Raw genomic sequence first — 23,295 nt, 5'->3', positions numbered from 1 at the left:
TGACTTTGTCAAGAATCAGACGACTGTAGATGTGTGGCTTTATTTCAGGGTTCTGTATTCTGTTCCCTTGGTTTATGTGTCTATTTTTGTAACAGTACCATGCTGTTTTGGTTACTATAGCCTTATAGCATAGTTCAAAGTTGGGTAATATGATGTATCCAACTTTGTTCTTTTTTCTTAGGATTGTTTTGGCTATTCAGCCTCATTTTTGGTTCCATATGAATTTTAGAATAACGTTGGTAGTTTGGTAGAAATCACGTTGAAAATGTAGATTGCTTTGGGAAGTATGGACATTTTAATGATATTGATTCTTCCAGTCCATGAGCATGGAATGTCTTTCCATTTGTTTGTGTCATCTATGATTTCTTTCAGCAACTTTTATAGTTCTCCTAATAGAGATCTTTCACCTCGTTGATTAGATGTATTCCTAGGTATTTTATTTTTTGGTGACCATTGTAAAAGGATTTCATTCTTGATATGGCTCTCAGATAAGAGCCAAATGTTATTGGTTTATAGAAATGCTATTAAGTTTTATATGTTAATTTCTTTTTTTCACATACAATTTTTTTTATACTTCAAGTTCTAGGGTACATGTGCACAATGTGCAGGTTTGTTACATATGTATACATGTGCCATATTGGTGTGCTGCACCAATTGACTCGTCATTTACATTAGGTATATCTCCTAATGCAATACCTCCCCCCTCCCCCCACCTCACAACAGGCCCCAGCATTGGTGGTTCAGTGGTAGAATTCTCGCCTGCCACCCTTGTTACTATAATTTTAACTTAGTTAAATATTACTTTAATCTAGTTGCCACAGCTGTTTGCTGTAACCAACGTTTACTAAATTTACTGAGAGAATTAAATAAAAATCTGTGTTATAGGAGACAATGACTCTAGAATCAGAACATTTTGGGGGAACTTAATTTGGAAACTTTAATTGATGTAATTAACGCTTATGGAAGCCAGTTGGTAAGGAAAAGAAACGAATTAAGTGCTAAAAATTCACACAATCTCTTAAATCCTCCCATCAACATGTGTTATGGGTGATGAAGGAAAAGGTAATGGAACTGGAAGGAGAACATCAAAAGACCTGGGGGTGGGTGTGGCTAAGATTCACATGCCTTGTAGAGCAAATTCCTACTACCTACTACCTATGTTTCAAATTCTGGTGGTCTTTGCACTGGTAGTAGATTTTTTTGTGTGTAAATAAAATGTCAGAGAAACTATGGAAACACACCTGAAAAGTATGTAAAGGAAATAGTATCAAAGTCAGAATGTGGGTTAGGAAAGAAAGTGCTAATAGTTTCTCTCCCTATACTGGAAGATGGCACGTTAAAGAAAGAAAGATGGCTTGGTCAGATTAATTATCCATATGCTTTCATTATATCTTTTGATCTTATCATTACTCTTTTTGAAACTCTTTGACTACTTTTAAGATTTTTCTCTTTGTCTTTGGTTTTCAGATCCTTGGTATAGTTTTGTTTCCATTTATCTTGACTGAGTTTTCTAGAGCTTCATAAATATACGAAAAAAATTTTATTAGTTTTGGAAAATTCTTGTCTATTATTTCTTTAAATATTACTTCTTCATTCCTTTTATTTCATCATCTTGGAACTAAATTATAGTATTTTAGAACATTTCAACAGTCCCTAATTTTTCCTTATTCTCTTTTTTACATTTTTTATTTTTGTTCATGTTTATTTCAGTTTGGATATTTTCTACTGATATTTATTTTAGCTCACAAATCTTTTCTTCATTTATTAAGTTTTTAATATTAGTTACATATTTTTACTTCTAGTATTTCCATTTGATTTTGTACAGAGTTAATTTTTTCATCTTTTTATCTTTAAGATGTTAATCAGTTCTTTTTAAATCTTGAACATATTCATATGTTAAAGGCCTATCTCTCAATATCTAAATCACTGAGAGTTTTATTCTATCGTTTGATTTTTTTCTCTCCTGTTGCTGTCTTCTGGTATTACTGGCAATTTTTGAATGATGCTGAGCATTGTGTTTGATACATTCCAGAAATTCTGTAAGTTCTTATCTTCCTTCAAATGGGTAGTTACCTTAGCTTCTATCGAGCATTCCGAATAAAACGACATCACCTCAATTTAACCATGAATTGTGCTGTTTCAAGGTTTGCTTTCATTCTTTATTGCCTGCTTATTTCTTATTTACTTTAGTCATAGAGAGTAATTTTTCAGAATTCTAAACAGAAATTCTGAGTTGATTGAGAGAGCCCTTCCTTCTTAGTGGATTCTAAATTCTAATTTTCTTCCCCTTTCTCTTGAAGAGACTGGAGCTGTGCAGCTGGTTGTCACATTACTGCTCAGCTTCTTTGTCTCTCAGTGCACACTATTTAGGAATCCTTAATTGCCTTTTTAAATGCTGCCTAGAATTGTAGGCTCATCTCAATGAGTTTCCCTTCTCTCTGGTATCTTAGCCTCTGAACTCTGACTTCCTTGATAGCTGTCCAAATCTTCAGAACAGTGTTTGGCTTATTTTGTTTTGTTTTATTTGTTTTTCATTCTTATTTTAAAAATTTCCTTTTCTGATTGTTTTCAGGATTGGGGGGGTGTATGTGAGTGCTATGTTATTTGAACTAAACTCAGAATACACATTTCATGTAAGAATACTATTATTCCTTTCTTCAATTTAAAAAGTCTTCAGTTTTTTAGAGAAAATTCTCTTTAAATTTTGCTTTCTTTTAAAACATTTTCTCTATTCCTTTCTTCTGTCTTATAACTGCTGTTACATATAAGACATGAATTATATATACACATAAATTTACCAACTTTTTGACTTTCTGTTATGTGTTCTAAGTTAATTTCTTAGTGTAGTCTTCAATTCACTATTTTTTTGGACAATTTCTAGCCCTGCCTAGAATTCTACCATACTTCATTTTTCTTTAAATTATGTCAATATATTATTTTTATAATTTATAATTGCTCCTCTCATTTATTTATATTAACTTTATATATTATGAGTAATTCTCTTTCTTGTTTTTAATATAATTTATATAGAACATGTATAAAAGTTTGCCCAAGTCTCTTATGATAAAGTGAATTTATAATCCAGTTGTTGATTTTTATAGGCTGTCTTTTTTATCATTAAACTTTTTGATTTGCTTTAGAATTTTAATGTTACTTACCACCTAGTAAACCTCTTCTTTTCCTTTAAGGCTTAGCTGAAATATAAACTTATTTGTCAAACTATCTTTAACTCTTCATGTCTGAATTAATGATTAATGCCTCTGTCTTCCCACAACACTTTGATAAACGACAAACTTATATAAAATGTAACATAATAAAATAATATATGTTTGTGTTTCCCCTATTGGACTGAGAGCTCTTTAGAGTAGGATTCTGGGCCATTTTTTAAATGGCTGCTTTTATTCAGTGCTTTAAATATAGCAGACAGCCAATATAACTTTTTAAATAATTATGATTATTCATATTTATATTTCTTGACTCACAATATAGACTGAGAGGCCAAGAAGTGAGTTATTTACATTGGAGATCATAGATATTATTTCTTGACTTTTTAGTTATTTCTAGATATTGAATTTTCCTAGAAATAAAAAAATCTTTTTATAGTGTTTTCTCTTTAGAACAAATTTTTCCCCACATATTTTTTCCTTTTGTTGATAAAAGCATAGGGATATTGATATGAAACTCTTCATATTGTTAAGAGAAGTGTTTTGGGGTATAGGTGGTTAACTTTCTGGAGATGGGCTATACTATCTTTAAAGTCCAGGCTCTCAAACGAAGTATTCTCACTGTTGTAGGTGCTGAAAAAAAATATTTGAAAATAACCTGTGACTGACAAGGTATCTGACTTTCTACTCAGAAAACAGACCAGTCACAAAACAATGTTATTTATGCTAACATATCCTATTCCCGATTTGAAATGGCAAATTTTAAAATAATACATAGATAATATAGTAATTAAGTGAAAGACAAATTTGTGTTAGTCTTTGAGAAACAAATATGATAGAGGTAGGCTTTGTGTCCCCACCCAAATCTCATCTTGAATTGTAATTCCCAGATGTTGAGGGAGAGGTCTGGAGGGAGGCTGGATTATGGGGATGGTTTCCCCTATGCTGTTCTTGTGATAGTGAGTGAATTCTCACGAGATTTGATGGTTTTATAAGTGTCTGGCATTTCCCCTGTTGTTACTTCTCTCTCCTGCCACCGTGTGAAGGTTCTTCCTTCCCCTTTACCTTCCATCATGATTGTAAGTTTCCCGAGGCTTCCCAAGCCACATGGAACTGTGAGTTAATTAAACCTCTTTCCTGTATAAACCACCCAGTTGTGGGCTTTATAGCAGTGTGAGAATGGACTAATACAAAATATCAAGACAGGATAAACATATAAGGATTACATAAGGGAAAATGTATAAGTAAAAGCATATAAGTAGGTAGCCAGGAAAGTTGGGGAAAGCTGTCAGACTGCAATGCAGCCTAACTCTGAGTGAAGGGAAAAGAAAGAAAATGTTGGATGAAGCATCTTAGATGGCCTTCCAGTATATGAAAGGTTTGGCAACACCAGTGGACAGTTCTTAAGTGAAATTCAGTCCAAAAAGAGGCTCATGTTTCTAAGGAATGGTCTGTCTAGAATAACTGTTCTCAGTGCAAAACACAAAGATGAAATTCAAAGTGTAGCAGCAAGAGTTCTTGGTCAGTAATGCTACCTGTAGTAGGCAACCTGATAATAAAAATCACAGTATATATAAATCATAAAATATTCAGCATAGTGGGTTAAAATCAGCCCAAGAACTTTATTTCATTTTTGGCTCTTCAAATTATTTTATTTATTTTATATTTTTCTATTTCATTTCTTTTTACTGATCTGTATACTGAGTCAATAATGTCCTTCAAGCTCCACTTTTCCCCTTTCTTCTTTTTTCTTTTCAAGTTTTCTTTTATTTCCTTTTTAAGTTCTCCTCTTTCTTAAGGACAAGTTTTCCTAAGATTTGATTGACAGACTGAAGTCTTGAAGGGTGGTCACTTAGTCCTTGCCAGAAGGCCCTCGAGCTGTTGTTAGAGACCAATTTATGCTATTATCCGTGGAAGAAAAATATATTAACAAAGACTATTCAACTGAATTCACCTCTTCACAGGTCATTTGTTTCCCGACCACTTTATCACCCATGCATGCTCTTCCACCCCAAGTTCATGTAATAGTAAATCGTGGGCAGGAAATGATAATCCAAAAATGTATAACTTGACTCTTTTTTTGTATCCACTGGATTATCTTTTTTTCCTGAAAGAGTATAAATAATCTTAAACTTTCCTATATTTTAATATGAGATGATTTAAAGATGTATCAGTCACAGAATCTACATAAAGTAACATTATAATTTTTTTCTCTTATGAGTAGATTTTTCCATTAAATTGGATTTTATAGGACATAGTTTCCATGACCTGTAAGCTACAAAGGTTAAATCTGATTATAATTTAGGAAACATGTTTACTTTTAATATCTTGGACAATTTAAATAAAAACTTCTGTAGTTTAATAGGCAAGCCTTTTATTGTGATCAATAACAGAGATGTTAACGGTAGAAATTCTTATATGTATTATGAGCAGATTTGTGTAATAAAAATCATAACTTGAATTCAGTTGAATTCATTGTTTAAAATTAGCTGCTTACTTGAATTAAAAAACCAACATAAAATTTAATTTTGTTTTTAATGTTTTTTCCCCTCCACCTCACCATCCTCCCTCAGTATAGTGAATTACAAACAATTATGAGAAACAACAACACTTTTTTATGTTGTGGATCTAACCAGATCCTCATGAGCAGCTCATGCTGTCACTCAGGAGACACTTTGAAGTAGAACCTAGCATTTTATCATATTGAAAAAGCAATAATCAGGCTTCTGACAACTTTTGTGTGTAGTCAGAAAAGGAAAATTATTTTGTATACCCTATCATATAACCTCATCCTCCATCTAAATATCTCATTTTTTTCTGGAGTCCCACATTTCTTCCAGCAGCCTCACCTCCCTTGCATTCCATTATCTAACCTCTTAAATCCTCTGAAACATTCTATATATTTTATTCTGTTAAATTGAATTAAGTTTGGCCTAAAATTGCCTCTGTACATATTGTAAGTTGGGACTAAAAGTGACATTTTCCTAGATTATGTTAAGCATACTGACCATTTTTATATCTGTCTGGTCACTTGGGATCATAGTGGAGCCACAATTATTAATTGGAGGGTAGAGGTATAAGCTAGAAATGTGTTAAGAGTAATAATGTATTTATATAATGATAATTAATAATTGTTATAAAAAAGTACACAGTTTGAGAATTTGAAAGAATTGTCTTCTGAGCATTTTCTAGGTATTAATATTTTCTCATAGAAACAGTTGTATAGAACCACTACATTATGATTATTACAGCTAAAATGTATGCAGCAGTTATTGTCTGTCAGTTGCTTTACATGGATTGTCTTATTTAGTTTTAACAATAGACCTACGAGGAAGTTACAATTATTTTCCCTATTTGCAAGATGAGGTAATGAAGACTGAGAAGTTAAATGGCTCACAGAAGAAAATCTAAATGAAAGACTATTGAGCCTACCTGTGAACCCATGCATTTCTAGCTTTTACCTATTTCACCATGTTTCCACTATATTTATAATTGGTAGAATTTTAGATCATCACACAAAAATTATTTAATCTATAATTGATGAAAGGAAAACTTGACTTGATTTCATTCATCTTATTTTCTCAAAGTACTAATTTTTAAAAGCCAGCAACTATATCTTTGGCTCTACAACCCTTAAACAATAGTTCACAGAGGAGAATAGATAGCATAGCTCCTTGCTTATTCTTTAATTTGCATAAGGGAAGTGACAAGAGCTCTCCTAGTGTCATTTCCCAATAGTTAAGGATTGGGCATCAAAGGTCAACTGACTCCACATACCTAGCACTTGAGCAGAATTCGCCAACATAATTAAAATTAGTTGAAAATTGTGTTTGTTCATAGTACCTTTGACATTCATTGAGTTGCTGATTTCTCTTTTAACTGTGTTATGTGTGTTGCTTGCGTTTAGTAACAGTAATTGGCATATCATAGTGTTGAATGAAAAAAATTTATAAAAATGAATATTTTCCTACTATAATTCCTATACATTAGGCACATGAATAGTCATTATTTAAAGTAACTGTGATTTATAAGCAGTGATATAGACCTCATTTATTTTACACTTACAATGAAAAAGGAGAAAAAATATGGATTTCTAACTGCTGAATTTCCAATTACCTCATTAATTTGGATTGCTTTTGTTGAGTAAACATGTACCTGATGTATTTTGGAGAGAAATAGAATGTAAGATTTATTAAATTTTTAGTTTGTTCTGTGTTCTGATGTAGTTACCTCAAACCATTTTCCTTGGTAGCAGAGTAAACATCTACTTTTCTCAATGGCATGGTAAATGCAGTAAAAAATTTTGAATGTTTTGAATGAACTTTTAGTAACAGTATGACTATGTCTTTAGTTACAAAATATTTTGAATATATGTTCTATGTCAGTCTACAAAGAGTTACATTAAATTTAGTCCTTAATCAAGTAAAGACTAAAGTCAGTATTATTTTGATGGTTTTATGCATATAATATGAATTTACATGAATTAATCATCTCATTAAAAAAGACATGTTTGTATAAATAGCAAATATGTTATTTGTTTAAAATATATATTTAAAACTGTTAATTAAGTTATTTAGTTTATATATACATAATATTTTCTCATGGTAATTTTTTTGTTTATAAAACAAAATGCAAATTACATTATCCTTTTTAAATCAACATAGTGAAAATGATCTTTTTATGTCTTTATCATGAAATTATTTTAAAATTATAGAAAGTAAACTAAAACTAAAGCATGCTGTTTTATACCATGGAAAATAAAAATATTAATTATATAAATTAGAATGTAAGAAGATAAGTCATTCTTTTGTTTTTGTCAATTAAGTATTATAAAATTCTGGGGGGGTTATGTTAATGTAATTTATACAAAAGTTTTATCTCTGAATTTTCTAGACGTGTCTTCCAATATTTAAAATACATTTGTTTGATTAAACTTAGAGGTACACAATATTTACTAATATACTTAGATATGGTTGGTGCTATGGGTTGAGTTTTGTTGTTATAAAAAAAAGATACATCAAATTCCTAATTTCAATCACCCGGGATGCAACCTTATTTGGAAATAAGGTAGTTGGAGGTGTAATTCATTACATTAAGATGAGGTCCTATTGGAGTAGGGTGTGCTCCTAATCCAATATGACTTGTGTCTCTATAAGAAGAAGGCTATATGAAAACAGAATTACACAGAGTGAACACTGCATACAACCAAGGCAGAGATTGGAGCTATATATGCTTCTACAAACCAAGTAATGCCAAAGATTGCTGGCAAATCACAAGAACCTAGGAAGAGTAAAGAAAGGATTCCTTTACAAGTTTCAGAGGGTGCATGGCTCTACTAACTTCTTGATTTCAGATATGTTTAGGACTGAAGATCTCTTGATTTCAGATATCTCTAGGACTTTAAGACAAAAACATTTCTGCTGTGTTTAACCATCCTGTTTGTGGTAGTTTGTTATTGCTAGATTCAAATGATCGACCCTGGAATCCAGATAAAAAAATTTGGGGCTTTTAAAAATAACATTTATAATGTGTAGGGAAGAACTAATTACTGAGTAACTATGATATTATCTATAATTTCCTGAAAAAAAATAGAGCATAATGGATGGAGTGATGGTGTGAGAATGACACCACATCTATGTAATTAACTCTGGTTATTAACTGTAGAGAGACATTTTGCTTTCTCTGGCCACCAGTTTCTCTATCCTCCAAATAAAAATAATATCTCCCAAAGTGCCTTTAATAAGCTGATTTGGATATTAAATAAGGATATATTTCCCAAGTTGTCTGGAAATTTAAAACTGTGTGCCAACATAAGAAAATATCTTTATACATCCTGCTTTTCTGCACAAGCTTCTCATTTTTCAGATATTGTACAATTTAATTATTTCTTCAGTGACTTAATTCACTAAACATACAGTTTCAATACAATTTATGACCATTTGTACTTCTTTAATTGTAATTCCTGATAATTATTTATACTAAAACATTCCTTTCTCAAAAATTAAAAAAAAATCTAAAATGTTACTATGTCCAGCTGAGAACGCTCTCTTTAACTCTGAAAGCTTAAATTTGTACTTCTCACAGATTTCTCAGAATAACATGTCCAATATGAAATTTACAAACTTTTTGCAAAGTGCTCTACCCTTTTCATGTCAGAGAACATCTCAACTATCTACCAGATTCTTAAAAACCTGCTGTAAACTCTTGTTACTCATTTCTATTTGTTTCTCAGGGCTGTCTTATACATCTCCATAAAATTGTTCCAATTCATCTGTGTATCTCTTTCCTGCTGTCATACTTTTAATTTTGAGCTCATCATATCTTGGCAATTTTGTCTGACAACATGCAATAAAATTTCTAACCCACCTTCCACACTGCTGCCAGAACCCTTTTGAACTGCCAATTTGGTTGTATTAACATCCTTGTTCCCTTGGCTTTATTTCTGGCTTCAGACACATGTATAAAGGGTAATTGCATGCAGGCTTCCCCTCCCTACTCCCTACTCTTTGGTGGTAACAATTCATCTACACTTGTGTTCTCTGAAAGTACCTTGTTTCCTGTTCTGATATTTTTTTGATGTTACTTTTGAGGATGGCAGCTGGATAATTCTATGTATACAATTAAATATATAGGAGGATATTAATGCCAGTTGAGATATCCTCAGCCAATGGAGGATAAGAGTCAGTAGATAAATGGCTGCTGATGAAGGTAAATTCACCTTTAAACACACACACACACACCTCAGCTCAGTCAATAGAAGAATATAATTATGTTTTCAAATAATGCCTTATTTTGCATGAAATTCCATGGTTCTGGAGCAATGTTTCTCAAGGTTGGCTTTGATAGGACATTTCTCTATTATTATTCTAGCTACACATACCATTCAGTATATGGTCTGTCTTTGAGGATGACCCCAGCTGTCCCCTTTTCTCTATCTTCTAAAGCCTGAGGTATGGCTTTGAATAGGGGTGATTATTTTATTCTGATATTTGAGAAAATACTTTGCATAAATCATTATTCTCCCATTTTCCTATTCTCACTGGATCTTCTGTTACCTTAAAAATATGTTCTCCTCAATAGGTCTCAGTAAATCTTGTTCAGAAACAAAAGCCTGGAAGACCCACCACAAATCTTTCACAAGGCAAGCAGAGCAGAGCCTACTAGAAAAGAAATAGCTAACATATAAAAAGAAGTCATAAATGGATATTTCAAAAATTATCTTGCCACAAAAATATTCCCTTAGAAAGGCCGTTTCTCTACTGAATTATTTGCTATTTGAAAAATTAAACTTAGAGATGCAGAGTATGGTGTGGAAGGCAGATATTGTTAGGAAGATAAATGAGTATAATCTTTTCTCTTTCCTTCTTAAATCACTGGAAAGCAAAAAAAGCAATGCATCAGTTTAGAAATATAAGCCAAAACTGACCTCTGAAATTTACCTCTTTGCATAGAATTGCCTACAAAGTCAAGTTACTAGTACAAAGTTTAGAATTGTAAGATTAAACTTAGAATATCTTAAAGAGAGTAATAGCATTTGCTTTTCATATTTAACTTATTTCCCTAATTCAAATCCAACAATCCATCTAGCACAGTAAACTAATTGGTTTTCCCCCAATACACCTATATAATTCTTCTATATAGTTTCTCATTAACTTTTGAAATAGAAGTCTGATTTGTAGTTTAAGTGAACTCAATTCTGATTTTATATTATCCTGTGTTTGTTTTACACTATACGCTGTCGAAAAACAGCATATCCTTCTACATATCTAGAAAGACTCTTCTCTCTAATCAGAAATATTTATAAGAGTAGCAATGGAGTTTGTATATACTCCCACAAAATAATTATTTCAATCCTTACTGGAATAAAATCTTTCTCCATTCTAATCTCTGGTCTAAAGACATAATTTGTTAATGCTCTTTTCTTTTCAATTCATTGTGTTGTAAAATTACTTATAATTTATGCAATAAAGCATATTAGAGTTACAGTATTCTCTAGGTTTAATCCAAGTCCATTTAATTTTCCTCAAAAGACTATTATCTCTATTTTAATGATATATTTTACTATCTCATTTAAAGCATTTATAAAAGTTATGTCATGTTGCTTAAGTTTGGGATATGTACAATTTATACTAAGATTTTATCCCCTCTCACTGTCTTATTTACCATTTATTGAATATCCTGTTACTTGCAAGGTATTGACATATATCACATTGGAGAAACAATGATAAATTAGACATTGGATCACTGAAATGGTGCAGATAACATAGCTGTTTAGATGGCTGACATGAGTAAAACAGAAAACTCGAATTTTGAATTTGATCATTTGAAGGTGAGAAAAAGAAACGCCTTTTAGATGTAAGGAACCTGTTGAGCCAAAGCAAAAAGATGGAAAAAAGTAAGTATATAAGGAAAACAGCAAGTTTTGGATGAGCAGAGTCTTTGTAAAGAAAGGTAGTGTAATATGACATTTGAAAGGAATGTTAGCTGTAGACCATGGAATTACCCAAGGCTAGTGTGAGAAATTGGGGCTTTTATATAAAAGAAGTATAGATTCAGTGAAAGTTTTTGAGCAAACTAGTGGCATGATAAGAATCACTAGGATTAACTCATCAGCTAACTCTAACATTAATTAAGATTAGGAGATTCTGTAAGAATAAAATGATTGACTCACCCAACATGTATTTAATACCAACTATGTACAATGTACTGCTAAGAATTACAGACTTAAGTAATAGAATAAAAATTCTTGTTTCAAAACTTGCAAACCATTAAGAAGAAAAATTAGACATTTCAAATTAAACCATAGAGGAATAAATAATATTTAGAAGTATTAAATATTTGCTCTGGCACTCGAGTGATCAATAAAATTAGAGGGTATTTTTGTGATGAGGAGCCTGTATCCTGGAGTCAGCCTGGATGTTAGTACTGGCTCTACCATCTCCTAGCTATGTGAATATAGGCCATTTAATCTCTCTGTGAATAAGTATTTCAGCAATCAAATTAAGAAAACGGTAGTTAATATCTCATAGGTCAATTGTGGGAATTAATGACAAAAACATAAAATATTTAGTACAACATCTGGCATATTTTAAACACTCAAGAAGTGTTTGCAGAAATGAAGTCAGAGTTGACTCTCCTGGTAACCATAAAGGCTGGGAATGCTAGGAAGAGCATTTAGCTCAGATCTTTCGAGGTTAGGGTTTAGCTCAAGGTAGTCTTCATGAAACATTCAGTCTGTGAATAATATAACCCAATCTAAGACTTGCAGACAAATAAAATAATGAGAGTCTAGGAAAGACTATATACATTAGAGCCCCACTTAATTCTGCAAGATATGAGACATTATTGCATTTGTTAAAATATAGAATGCTATGAGTTCACTTATTTTGTAAAGAGATCTGTGATGAGTAATTTTGAAAAATGACAGAGATCCTCTGTGATGAGTAATTTTGAAAAATGATAAGGTCAGTGGGGCTGAAACTGCAATGATTCAGGTAGGAATGATGAAAGGAGAAAGTTGTAGTGGGTAGAAAATGGGGCTTGGAAATACGGACCCTTCTAGAGATAGAATTTGCAGAACATGATAAGGGATTGATTATAAAAGTCAAGACAAAGAAGAAATAAGGGATAATGCCAATATTTACAGTCAGTAGGCTTGGATGAAGTAAAAAATCAACAGGTATAGGGAGTGCATGCAGAAGATTACATGCAAAAACAAAGATGAACATTTCTGGGTTGAAGATCCAAAAAAATAAAGTTGTGCCAGAGCATAAATATAGATTGTCTATTAAAAGATGGGAAGTAAATATATACATTTGTGAGTGAGTGAGTGTTACCCAAGGTCAATAGCACAGGCTAGGATATTTGCTGATATATCTCAGGCAAACCCTGTGAATGAAAGAGGCCAAAACAAAACAAAACAAAACAAAGAAACCCAAACAAAGAAACTAAAATAAGACCAACTTTTTATTGGTTAGAATATTTAGGTTAGACATCTGTTAAACTTTTTCCTTTTCTTAAAAAAGAAATAACTTATTTTAGTCCATTGAAACTGCCTTTCTCTTCATTTTTGAAATTTAGAAGTAATAATTCACTTGTAGAATTACTATAAAAGCATAATTCCTTAAGATTCCAACCTATAGAGTCAAATTATTTAATATTTTGGTTTATATCATATTAGACTTTTTCTTTTGCAAAGAAACCTAATTTTGGAAAAGGCATTTCACTTCCCTGACATTTTCAATAATCTTCAGATCATCTTGATATTGATTTTTTTGCCTCGTATCTCTACTGGAATGAAATTTCTCACCTTTTATTTACGTTGAATTTGCTTAGTCTAGAGATGACATTATGGAACATCTTTCCTGTAAAATATGGTAATGAAGCTTGATTCCCCATTGCCTCTGGAAGCCATCTTGTGGTCTTGAGATGTGGTACTCTCTGGACAAAGACAATGTATACAAAAAGAATGTAAATAAAAACACAGTCCTTGTTTTCAAGGACCTATTTATCCAAACATATGATCATATGATCATTCATTTTATATATATATATGTATGTGTATATACACAATAATTGGCTTTAGGCCTCTTCTAAATACATAGAAAACTGAAGAGTGTTATTCCCACCATAGCAATGAGAGAAAACTAGGTAATATATAAAATTATTTTTTCTTGAATCCAAAGAGTTGAAGTCACAGAAAAAGCCAGCATGAAATTTAAAGAAAGATAGGGCACAAGTACTAACACCCATGTTAGTAGGCAGGAGTAGACAAGGCAAGCCTAAAAACAGATAAAAACAAGTCCGCTACAATTTTAACACATTGCTAACATCTGAGTGGAGTCTCACATGCAAGTATGGAACACTGAGAGCAGCATACATGGCAAGCTCAACTTTACAACCTTCCTGAGTGGGCATGAGAAATACTGAGGGTGGCCAGGAGAGCATTTTTTAGTAGATAAGCCTTGGAGAAGGGAAGCTACCACAGGAAAAAACAAAATAAAACAAAAAACAAAACAAAAAAACCCACAGAGATATACCCAATCCAACATTTCATAAATAACAGAAGTAAGTCACTAAGAGATGGGTTAGGACCATTATAAATCTATCACAGGAGGAAAATTAGAGTAACTGAGAAAATCCCATACCTGAGTACCAGGGATGAAGGCCCTACATAAAAATGAGGCTGAATCGGAAAAAGAGATAAGTTACTTACCTTCCACTACTATGCCAGTGAGGGTAAGTAACAAGAAATAAGTAATCAGTGGGGTAAGATAATGCACATGGAGAGACACTCTCCATGAGATGCAAAAGCACAGTGAAGGGATAAAGCTGCGAGTGGAGCTGGACCATAAAGGGAAGCTCCCTGATAATTCAACCAAAACCCTAAATACAAAGTACTACTGGGGGAATTTAGAGCTGATGATTCACTATAAGTATCTATGGCAAAACAATACCCAAATAATGCATACTTCCTGGCAATAACTCACCTCCCAGATTAAAGTCATAGTAGAGAAAAAGGTATGCCCATTTCATCACAAATACTTCTTTCCTTTGTCTCTGTTGTTCTATGTACTATGTCTGACATACAGTGAAAAATTATGTGGTACACAAGACAGAAGAAAAGCCAAACATACAAGAAACAAAGCATTCAACAGAAGATTCAGAGATGACCCAGATATTGAAACTGTAAGTTAAGGAATTAAAAAATGCTTTCTGAGTAATATTTTTAAGCCCCTAAAAGAAAAGACAAAATGCCTTAAGAGACTGATGGGTATTTCAGCCAAGACAAAAAAAAAAAAAAAAAAAAAAGAAAAAACAATGAGTAACATTCTAGAATTAAAGTAAAAACATAGTAAGAGAGATAAAGTGTGATGTTGAGGGGCTCATGATTAAATTCAACAGAACCAAGGAAATAATTGATAAAATTGTATATAGGTCAATAAGAATTATATAAATTAAAACAGAAAGAGAAGAGGAAAAAAAAAAGAAGACAGAGTAGACCATCAGGAGATGCAGAATAATATGAAATGTGAACATGTGCCTAAGTGGAATTACAGGAAGAAGAGAGAGAAACAAGAAGATAAAAGATATTTGAAAAGACCATGGCTGAGGATTTCTAAAATAATGAAAGGGACATGAAATGCAAAATTCCAGCTAAGAGAACTTCACACAGAATGAAAAGCAAACCAAGCCAAAACAAACAGAAAATAGTTTTTTAAAAAAGAAAACATACATGCAGACACATTATACTCAAACTGATAAGGTAGTGGTGACAGTTAATAGAAAACATTTAGTACAAAGCAGAAATTAAGAGAAAAATTGTGAAGACAATAAAAAAAAGACACACTAGTTGTAAAGGAGCAAAAATTAATTACAGCAGATCGCTTGGCAAAAACTGTGCAAGACAGACAACAGCTATCCAGTGTTCTCTGTTTTTTGTTTTTGTTTTTCAGTAAGTTACACATGCAATTATCATGGCCCAAGTCATGTAGACAGAATTTTGGCCCCCATAAACTTTATCTTCTGGTATTACACTCTGGAATGTTACTTTATGTGGTAAATTGGACCTTGCAGATCTAACTAAGTTTTACTAATCAATTTATTTAAAATAGGGAGATAATTCTAAACTATTCAGGAGAGCAATATAATCATATGATCTGTTACATGTGGAGCTTTATTGTGGCTGAAGGAAGAGAAAATTAGGTAGACTCAAAGCATGAGGACTCAATGAACCTTGCTAGTTTGAAAATGGAGGGGACTGCATGAAAAGAGGGAGAGTGGACTGATTTCTGCCAACATCCTGAATGTGTTTGACAACAAATATTCCATAGTCTTGTGAGCAGTGCAGTTCTGCTGACACCTTGATTTCAACCTTCTGAGATTCTAAGCAGACAAGTCAGTTGAGAGACTCCGTGCGTAAAATTTGCACTTATAAAATAATGAGATAATAAATAGGTGTTGTTTAACACCACAAATTTGTTGTAATTTGCTGTAGTGGCAAAGGAAAACCAATACATCAGATATTTACTCAAGAGAAAGAAAAACATCATCATATAAAAATTTGTACAGAAATGTTTACATCAGCTTTATTTGTAACTACCCAAAATGGAAATTATTTACATCTCCTTTAATATGTACAAACATGCTGAGTTTCTCTTATGTACCAATGACACTTAAAATTTGATATTGCCTTCAGTAGAAATCTCTTCTAAACTAATGCTATTTGGTTCTGGCTTATAAATGGCAATTCTATGAACTAAAAAAAAAAACAGCATTACTCAAACACAAGATTATCTAATATTAACTAATCTAGCCTCTTTATATAACTTTTTCCTGTCTCATAGAAAAAATTAAATTTGTTCAGATTTTATTTGTACTTCCTAAATTCATATAATTTGCTATCTACTAACTTATATTCTGCTAGATAATTACAAATTGATTATTAGATGATTTATTCTATTATCTTCTCAGAGTTTGAGCTTACTGGCTCATGATTGCCATGCAATTCTCTACACATACATTTTTTTAAGTTACAAGAACTAGATTATCATTATAGCTTTTCAGATAGTTTTTCTTAGTCAATGTTTTTTTAAAAAATATATAATTTCTCAAAAATAACATCTTCTAAAATAATTTGACAAAGTCCAACATCCTATTATGATAAAGAAAAAAGCTCATGAAAAATTAGGTGGTTGGATGCAGTGGCTCATGACTATAATCTCAGTACTTAGAAAGACTGAGCAGGAGGATTGCTTCAGGTCAGCAGCTCAAGACTAGCCTGGGAAACATAGCAAGACCCTGTATATACTATATATATCATATATATATATATATACACACATACCAGTCATAGGGACATACACCTGTAGTCCTAGCTACTCAGGAAGCTGAAGTGGGAGGATCACTTGAGGCCAGAGGCCAGGAGTTCGAGGTAACAATGAGCTATAATTGCACCACTGTACTCCAGTCTGGGTGACAGACTGAGACCCTGTCTTAAAAGAAAAGAAAAGAAAAAGAAATAGAAGGAACTTCCATAACATGATGAAAGACGTTGCTATTGGCTGAATACTTGTCCCCCAAAATTTATATATTGAAATTCTAATTCCCAATGTGATTAGGAGGTGGGATTTTGGTAGAGATTAATTAGGTCATGACGACAGATCCCTCATGAAGGACATCAGTGTCTTTATTATAAGAGACCCTGGAGGAGAGTTCCCTTGCCCTTTCAACCACGTGAGAACATAGGGAGAAGATGGCTATCCTTGAATCAGGAAACAGCTCACCAGACACCAAATCTGCTAGCACCTTTATCTTGGACTTCCCAGCCCTCAGAAGTGTGAGAAATAAATTTTTGTTGTTTATAAGCCTTCCAGTCTATGGTAATTTGTTGTAACAGCTTAAACTGTTAGAGAGTTTTCAAGCTTGAACACAGGCATCTTTTTATTTGCAAGCTGTTATATTTGTTCCTATAAAAGCTTAAACACAGACATTTATGAAAAGCCTATAGCTAACATTATTCTCGATAGTGAAAGACTGTATCAGGAACAAGATAAGGATGCCCATCCTGACCATGGCTATTCAACATTGTACTGTAAGTTCTAACCAGAACAACTAGGCAAGAAAAAGAAATAAAATGTATCCAAATTAGGAAGAAGTAAAATTGTTTGTTTGCAGGTATGATCATATATATAGAAAATCTTGAAGAATAGGCACACGTTTGTGAGTGTGCATACCCGCACACAAGATTCTGGAGCAAATAATCAAATTTGGCAAAGTTAGAGATTACAAAAGCAACACAGAAAACATCAGTTTTGTTTCTATATAGCAGGAACAAGTAATCTAAAAATAAAATTACAAAAACAATTTCATTTATAGTAACATTCCAAAGAATAAGAATAACTAGAAATTAAATTAGCTAATATATTGAAAGCTATTGGTGAAAGAAATTAAATAAGACAAACAAAAGGAAAGACGTCTGTGTTCATAGAAGGGTAAAAGTAATGTTGAGATATGAATACTACCCAAAGTGATTTACAGTTTCAATGCAGAATGCTATCCTTATTATGATGCCAATAGTCTTTTTTTCTTTTTGCAGAAATGGAAATGCCAATTCTCAAGCTCATATGTAATTTCAACTGGATTTTCAAATGCAAAATAAGTTGAATCTCTACCTTATGCCATATATAAAAATTAACCCCAAATGGACTGAAAACATAAATATAAGCATGAATATTAACACTTTTGGAAGAAATCATGGGGTAAATCTTCATAACCCTGGATTTGGCAACGAATTCTTAGTTATGATATCAATAACATAAATATGGATAAATTGGATTTCATCAAAATTAAAAGCTTGTATGTACCAAAAATGTTATCAAAGAAGTAAAATGACAATCTAGAATGGAGGAGAAAATATTTGTGAATCATATCTCTGATAAAAGTCTAATATTCATACTATATAAAGAACACAGTTCAACAAAAGACAAACCACCTAATTAAAAAGAGGGTAAAAGACTTGAATAGAAATTTCACCGCAGAAACTATACAAATGACTATCAAACACTTAAAAAGATGCTCATATCAGTAGTCATTAGGGAAATGCATAGCAAAACCACAGTGAGGGATGACTTCATACACATTAGGTTGTAAACACACAGACACACACACATGCACACAGTGTTGGCAAGGATGTGAAAAAATTAAAGCCGTTGTATAATGCTGGTGGGAATGTAAAATTATTCAGTTGCTATGAAAAACAATTCAATGGTTTCTCAAAAAGTTAAAAACAGAAATCCCACATGACCCTTCAATTCCACTCCTAGATATGTACCCAAAAGAATTAAAAACAGATACTCAGAAAGGTACATGGTCACACATTTTATAGCAGCACTATTCAAAATGGCCAACAGGTGAAAACAACCCAAATTTTTCTCAACTAATGAATGGATAAACAAATTGTGGTATATACATACAATGGGATATTATTCAGTCATAAAATTGAATAAATTACTGATATATGGAATAACATGGATGAACCTCCAAGACATTGTGCCAAGTGAAAGAAGCCAGATGCAAAAGGTCACATATTGTATGACCCTATTTATAGGAAATATCCAGAATAGGTAAATTCAAAGAGACAGAATACGGATTGGTGATTTCCAGTAGCTTGAGAGAGGGAGGAATAGGGAGAAGATGCTTAAATGGGTAAGAGTCTTTACTTTGGAGTGATGGAAATATTCTGGAATGAGATAGAGATGGTGATTGTATATCATTGTGAATATATTAAATGACAAAAATATTCACTTTGAAATGGATTGTTTTATGTGTTGTGAATTTCACCTCAGTAAAATCATTTAAAGATAACAGCTGCTAATTGCAGATGCTCAACTTCTCAGGATGCTTATCATCTAGCAAAACCGATTTGCATGCATGGAGATGTTTAAATTATGCAATATTCATGTAGGTTAAGAAATGATTTTTGAAGCAGTGGTTGAGCACTACCTTCTTGTGTTATCCTGTGGATAGTCCACAAGGTTTGTTTCCTTTCTTTCTTCTTTGGGTATGGAGGGTGGCAAGAGCAGAAGGCGGCAGGTAGCGAGTTTAATCAATTGCTTAGTCCAGCTAGGAAGTCTTGGTTCTGGTATCTGCAAAATGGATAATCACATAATCAATAGAGTTGATTATAATTGCATAATGTTTTAGTTTTACACAGTTCTTATGACTGAAGTTTATTTTTTAAAATTGTTTGATTTTTTTCACTTGAATACTTAAAAATATTTCTTTGTACTCTTTTTTAGCAGCTTAGCCTACTACATTTTCCTCCTATTTGTTTCTTTGTAGTGACTGATCATCAATCAACTCTTTCTTACTGGTGACAATATAATCAAGATAAACTGTTCTTAGATTATTTCTCTATTTGTATAAATATTACCAATGTTGTAACATACTGTGAGGACCTTAAATATTATGCCAGGTTGATGACTGGCCTTCAGCTCAACCAGTATTTGATTCATTAAAATATCTAACCAACATGTAATTCTGACACAAAGCCGTGCTGGTATATCGACTGAACAAAATATCCACTTTATCTATCTGATTTAGAAGTGTCAACTTCAATTCCTATCATATCACCATTTCCTATTGATTCTTCCCTATTAACTTTAATACTCTGTTGGATTTCCTTTAATTGTTCAGCTTAGATGTCTGTGTATTTTCACCACTTACAAAGTTGGTGACACTATGCCTCCCTTTACCATGTTTATTTCTTTGAAATAATCGATGCAGAATAAGCCTTATTTTTTCATAAGGGTTATTCCATTAAACTCTGATTATGATTTAGTAATAATTGAGGTCTGAAGTTAATATTTAAGGCTTCTGTTGATATACATATAAAAAATCAAACTTGAAACCTTCTACAGGAAGACATGGATAGAAAAGACACTTTGTACCAAGGCAAAGGGGAGAAATGGAGCTTTGAGAATACTTTTTGGTATTTGAAATGCCCGGGAAATAATTAGTTTCATTTCTGTGATTCCAAATATATGTGTTGAGCAGCTTATAGATTTCAGATGTATTTTGTTATACTTACTGATACTCATAATGGCCTCCTCTCCCACTCACAACTCTGCTTCTTTCCTGACCTATTGCTTTTGGTGTTTCATTCTCTCTCATTTTCTTCTGGAGATTGTTAAGTGTGATCTTATTGCCGCTTCGCATAGAGTGTATTGACAGAAGTGGTAAGATTTTCTTGATTGTGTAGTTATGCACATGTTTAACCTGTATGTATCAACCAAGTACTTATTCTACAGAATGTGTATTGTTTGATATATGAAGAAAATGATAAGCTTATGTTTGCACAGGCTGTCTATTCCCTTTGCATTCATGCTCTATATTAAACCATTATTGACACTTTTAAATGTTGTGGTATTTTCTCTTTCCTTAATATGATTTCAATAGATATTGTGTTCAAGAAAAAGTTTTGTTAATATTCAAAGTGTTCTGAGTCTGTTATATTTCTTTGTCCTGAACAGTTTTGACTTATCTAATACAGTGAAAATTATGGTCCAATTTGTTGCCTACTGGCTTTTTATTTTTATTTTGGTCAAAACTTTCATAATTATATTTTATACCTAAAAAGTTTTAGAAAATGTTGACTTTCCAAAAATTTTGATGAAACACTGTTTACATGAGGAAGAAAGTTATTAATAAAATTTTAACTTACAGAACATGTGAAACTAGAGAGCATTCTAAAACTATGTATATGTGTATATATAAGTATATGGATATGTAGGCACACACATATATGTCTATATGTGTATATATATATAATGGTATAAAGTATGCTATAGTCAATGTGTGTATTATATATATATAACGGTATAAATTATGCTATACTCAACATAGATTTATACATACTCAATAGAGACTTATACAATGAATAAGACTATCCAATGAATTCAGACTTTTGATAATGAGAAATTTCATTATCTCATAAAGTGTTTGATTGAATAAGCTATCCAATCATGCACAGCACTGCCTCATTTTTCTATTATTATTCATTTACTTATCACTTTTCACCCAACTTTCTTTAAGAATTCAACAGAAAATGATGAATTGCTCAATTTATCTTGTGAGGTGCATACAAATTTTGTCTATTTTAAAGAGAAACTAAAGCATTCTGGCATAGTCTCATGCCTATCAAAGACATTTTTGACAGGGTCTTGGATAGAGGGCATCGGGTCTTACTCTCACAAGGGTAACTAGGGCTTTAAAATGTATATGTGAAAAGCCTACTGAACTCCTCACTTAAAAACAACAATGACAGCAAAACAGTTGGCACTTGAGATTCTTTCCCCCTCATGTTTCTGGCCTTTTTGTTTTGCTCAGTTCCGGTTGATTCATTATTCTTTAAATGGACTTATCCATAAGAAAGTGGGAAGCAAAGGAGAGAAATAAAAGTCATTTTCAAAAATAGTTTAATTTTTTTTAATGGGTGAGAAGAAAATGTACCAAGTTGCATGTTGTTTTAATTTAGTAAGATGAGTGTTTATTGTGTTAGGATAAAGTGTCCAGAGTCAGAAATAGCTGTTTGGAATTCTTCACCTAGCTGTGTTACCAGCTGTGTAAATTTTTCCAAGTCACCTAGCTTTTGTAAAATTTGGGATTATGGTTCTTATTAACAACTCTAAATGGAATATTGTATATGAAGTGTTTAATGCTGCAGCCTAATACACACTCAATAAACATTATTACTATTATTATTATTATGTAATGGTGGAATGGGTTAATATGTAGACTAGAAAGGAATATAACAAGCCTAGTAAGTCTGATCATTAATTAATTAAATTAAATTTGGAATTTTCAGATAACCGCAAAACAACCACAGAAAATAATACAGAGAGGAAAATAATTAGAGAGTTTCCTGTGAAAAAGAATAGTTAGATATGTACAATAGAGTCCATTACATTAGGACTCCTTTTAAAGAGCAAAACTTTCTTAATTCACACCACCTAGCACACAACTTTGGCACAGAACAGACAATAAATGTTTGTTAAATTAATTGACCTGATGACCTTACATATATACTAAAATATTTTATAGAAGTTTTGGGGAAAATAAGCCCCTTTTTTCCCTCTAGTTTTGTCCTATACCTAATTTTGGAGGCAGCAAAGAAAAGAAGCAAGGATAGTTTAAGGAAAGGAAATTTAATCAGAAAGTGGAGGGGATGAGAAAAATTCTATATAGGGGACAGCAGAATACAGGCTGAGTTGCTATAGAATTACCCATGGGTTCCCTAACAGCATAAACAAATCAGAGGAAGTTGAACCAAAGTATTTTCTGATTCAAAAGAGATGTGCTAAATTGACAGGAATATCAGAAATGACTAAACACGTAAACTTTTTAAAAAAATACTTGAACAGTCTCAATGTTGGCATGATTAACGCTCTATAAATTCAGATACAACATTATCATATATCTGTTTTAACAAGCTGATCTACATCTGACCATCTGAATTAAGTATAAAATCAATGCAATTAAACATAAATGATTAGCCACAATGTACCAGGATTTATGTTGGCATTGGGGAGGTGGGTGTGTGTGGGTATATACCAGCCTTGGGTTCTCTATT

At 32.3% G+C, this 23,295-nt stretch overlaps 1 long non-coding RNA gene across 1 annotated transcript in view; it reads left to right on the top strand.

Moving 5' to 3' along the window:
- The window catches only part of LOC105379064 (uncharacterized), a 77,685-nt gene extending 56,603 nt beyond the window's left edge, over nt 1–21,082 (top strand). Inside the window, exons 3-4 of the long non-coding RNA XR_948537.3 lie at nt 14,756–14,852; nt 18,262–21,082. This is a non-coding gene — a long non-coding RNA (uncharacterized LOC105379064). The remainder of the gene's footprint in view (nt 1–14,755; nt 14,853–18,261) is intronic.
- Nucleotides 21,083–23,295: the final 2,213 nt, after the last annotated feature.

Source organism: Homo sapiens, chromosome 5 (genome assembly GCF_000001405.40).
Source record: "Homo sapiens chromosome 5, GRCh38.p14 Primary Assembly".
In the NCBI taxonomy this organism is placed as follows: Eukaryota; Metazoa; Chordata; class Mammalia; order Primates; family Hominidae; genus Homo; species Homo sapiens.
This window is presented reverse-complemented; position numbering and strand designations above follow the sequence as displayed.